The 3,483-nt window shown below is 55.2% G+C and overlaps 1 annotated feature.

Moving 5' to 3' along the window:
- Positions 1,995-2,606: an enhancer, noted in NCBI's record as "H3K27ac-H3K4me1 hESC enhancer chr17:42684805-42685416 (GRCh37/hg19 assembly coordinates)". NCBI's record gives its function as "activates a minimal SCP1, AML or CMV promoter by ChIP-STARR-seq in primed H9 embryonic stem cells {active_cell/tissue: H9 hESC(primed)}" and the evidence as "EXISTENCE:reporter gene assay evidence [ECO:0000049][PMID:30033119]".

Here is a 3,483-nt window from a genome sequence, read left to right on the forward strand (position 1 = left end):
ATGACTTTTACAAGCTCAGAGAGGTTGTGTCTTGCTCAGTGTCACACAGCAAATTGGTGTCAGAGCCCAGCACAAACCTGATCTCCCAGGCCAATGCTCTTTCCAGACCTCACCCAGAGGGGAAAGGTAGCCAGGGGTAACTGTTCAATGAAAAGCTGCAGCCTACACTACTGCAGCCCACACTACTGCAGCCCACGCCATCACACAAGATCTTCCTCCAGGGAGCTGCCCCAGTGGACGCCTCATTTCTTCTCCCCTATCACTCATTCCACTACTCACAACTGCCTAGAACTTGATCCATTAGTTTATCTCACATTCACTCCATCTTTTGTCTTTGTTTTTGTTTTTGTTTTGAGACAGTTTTGCTGTTGTCGCCCAGGCTAGAGTGCAATGGCGCAATCTCGGCTCACTGCAACCTCCGCCTCCTGGGTTCAAGCAATTCTCCTGCCTCAGCCTCCCAAGTAGCTGAGATTACAGGCATGTGCCACACCCAGCTAATTTTTTTGTATTACTAGTAGAGATGGGGTTTCACCATGTTGGCCAGGTTAGTCTCGAACTCCTGACCTCAGGAGTCCGCCTTGGCCTCCCAAAGTCCTGGGATTATAGGTGTGAGCCACCACGCCCGGCCCACTTCATCTTTAAAACTCTCTGTGTCGTAGGAGAGAGGGAGAGGGAGAGAGGGAGAGAGTGTGTGTGTGTGTGCATCTGTGTGTCTTGCCTTCACCATCAGATGAGGGGGTTTCTTAGACAGAGGGTATGTCTCCACCATCACACTGGGCGTTCCTAGAGGACAAATGGTGTCTCCCTTCGGTTAGAACAGGAGCTTCCTGAGGTCAGGGACTGTCTTCCCTACTAGACTGGGGTTCCCTGAAGGCAGGAGCTGAGCCTCCAGAATTTTGTGGGTCTCCTTCCCACCTCCGCAGTTCTCTTCAACTGAGACAGCCCTGGTGTTAGACTTTAACAGGAGGAGGCCCTCAGAGTGCCTGGTTCAGAGACCACCTATGACAGAAATGCCGCTGGCATTTGAAGCCACTGGGACTACCACCTCGGGACATGATTGGGGATTCTCGGACAGCTCTTATTCTTTGCGCATCCCGAGATTTCCATTTGTTGTCTCAGTAATCACCAGCCTTGGTGTTCTGTGGTTCCTGTTCCACCAACCCTCCAGGGAAATCCTCTCTGAAGTTTTGAAGAGAACTCACCATACCTAAGCTGACCCTCTGAACAAAGGGAGGCTTGTGGAAACAAGGGGTTAGAGGAGAGGGTTTTCTTCTTCTCCTTCACCAAGGCTTCTGGGGATGGCTAAGGCCGATGACTGTCTCTCCAAAGCCACCCTCCACCCCGCCCCTGTCCCGCGTTGACCTTCCTTCTAATATACCAGCCCGAAGTCACACCTTCTCCCAGGAAGGGTTGGACCGCAGTTCAGCAGAGGCCGTGCAAGCGAACCCTCTCTCTAAGGAATGGTCATGGCGTCTTCCTCCCTGTTTCCCAAACGGGGTGCTGGGATTTTCGTCACAGGTCCCAACTTTCCCAAGTTCCAGTAGAATTCTTCCTGGAACCTTTCTGGTATCATCACCCTGTGCATCTAACAGTCTTAGCCCCCAGCTGGAGATGTGGCAGGGCCTGAGTGAGAGCAGTAAGTACAAGGGGACCTCAGCTCTGTACCAGATGTACCAGAGCATCCCCCCACAGCTGTCTATCACACGGCGCTGGGCCTGACAGGAGACAGGTCGCTGCCAAGATGGCATCCTGAGAACACACATGTAACAGGCGGGCAAGCGGTGCTTCCTCTGCCACCCTCCATGGCACCAAGTTAGAACACTACTATGAGGTACATAGGACAGACCCAATGCCCATCTGTGGATAAAGGAAGTAAGGCTCAGAGAGATTAAGCTGGGCTCAGTGGCTCACGCCTGTAATCCCAACACTTTGGGAGGCTGAGGTGGGTGGATCACCTGAGGTCAGGAGTTCAAGACCAGCCTGGCCAACATAGTGAAACCCTGTTTCTACTAAAAATACAAAAAATTTAGCCAGGTGTCATGGCGGGCACCTGTAATCCCAGCTACTCAGGAGGCTGAGGCAGGAGAATCTTTTGAACCTGGGAGGCGGAGGTTGCAGTGAGCCGAGATCGTGCCATTGCACTCCAGCCTGGGCAACAGAGCGAGACTCTGTCTCAAAAAAAAGAAAAGAAAAGAAATAGATGCAAGGCCCCATGCTATTCAGAAGAGCTGGAACATCATGCCAGGCCTACATTTGGTTTCAGTGTCATCACCCTTTGTGCCACATCTTACAGCAGTGCCAGCTTGGAACCAAACTCAGGCCCCCAGACTCCCAGCCTACTCCCAGGAGCACTGTGTGTAGCTGAGCAGGTCATACACTGCACAACCCCAGGATTGTGCTCCTCACATTGAGGTCAGGGCAGATGGCGTCCCCTGTAGCTGTTGCAGGACATGACCCCCATGGCTCCACGTGGAGGTCCTGCCTCCACACTCAGTCCTCAGCAATCTGTGCACACATTCAACACTTGGGCCACACAAATCCATCCCCTCCTTCTCCTCTTCTCCCACTAGCCAGAGTGGCAGGCAGCAGGAGCTCTTGGGGGCAGGTGGGGATCCCTGAGGAGTGTACACACCACCTCCCAGGACCACCATGTGCTCCCTGCCTCTCCATGTAGGAGCGCTTTCTGCCATACCCCCCATACCCTCTGTACCTCCCCATACCCCAGTTGCCCCCTCACTGTGCCCACACCCCTGCCTCCACACTCATCCCCACACACATGTGGGTACATACACCCACACACACATGTGCACCATGCAAGTGAAGTGCAGGGCCCCAGATCTCCAAGCTCCTGTCTGAGACTCCACCAAGCAGGGGGCTGAGGGCTGAGGGCTGGGGGCTGGGGGCTGGGGGCTGGCCTCCCTTAGCAGAGCCCTCTCCCCCTCTACTCGTGTGCAGGGCCCTGGCCCCTCCCGGGGAACAAGGCTGGGATTAATAAGCGGCCTGGCTCTCTCCCCTAATGGGCTCCAGCTGCACAAACATTCCCAGAATTCAGAGCCGGCTCTGTCTGGGGCGGCCCAGGCCTCAGCCCCAGCATTCCTGGCCCCCTCCCCCAAGGCCTGGGCCAGCTGCTCCGGAACTCCAGCAACTGGCTGGGGATCGAATCCCAATTCAGCTTCTCCAGAGGTGGGGGGCAGTGGAGTGACTGGGGCTGGGGTGGGAGGTGAGGGGACAGGAAGAGGTGAGTAAACTCTGAAAGGACACCTCCCTACCTGCCCTTCCCCCGCCTGCCAGGCCCACCCCTCCCCCAACACTGCTCACACCCTTAGCCTAGGTGCCAGGGCCCAGCTTGGTCTTCCCTAATTTGTCTCACCAGGCAGGGCCCTTGGCTGGCAGTGCCAGGAGGAGGTAACCCAGGCAGGGCTAGGAGAAAAGATAAACATCTCCCCTTGTGTTTTAAGAGATCCAGCTGGGTCTCCATGGAGT

Source organism: Homo sapiens, chromosome 17 (genome assembly GCF_000001405.40).
Source record: "Homo sapiens chromosome 17, GRCh38.p14 Primary Assembly".
Lineage (NCBI taxonomy): Eukaryota > Metazoa > Chordata > Mammalia > Primates > Hominidae > Homo > Homo sapiens.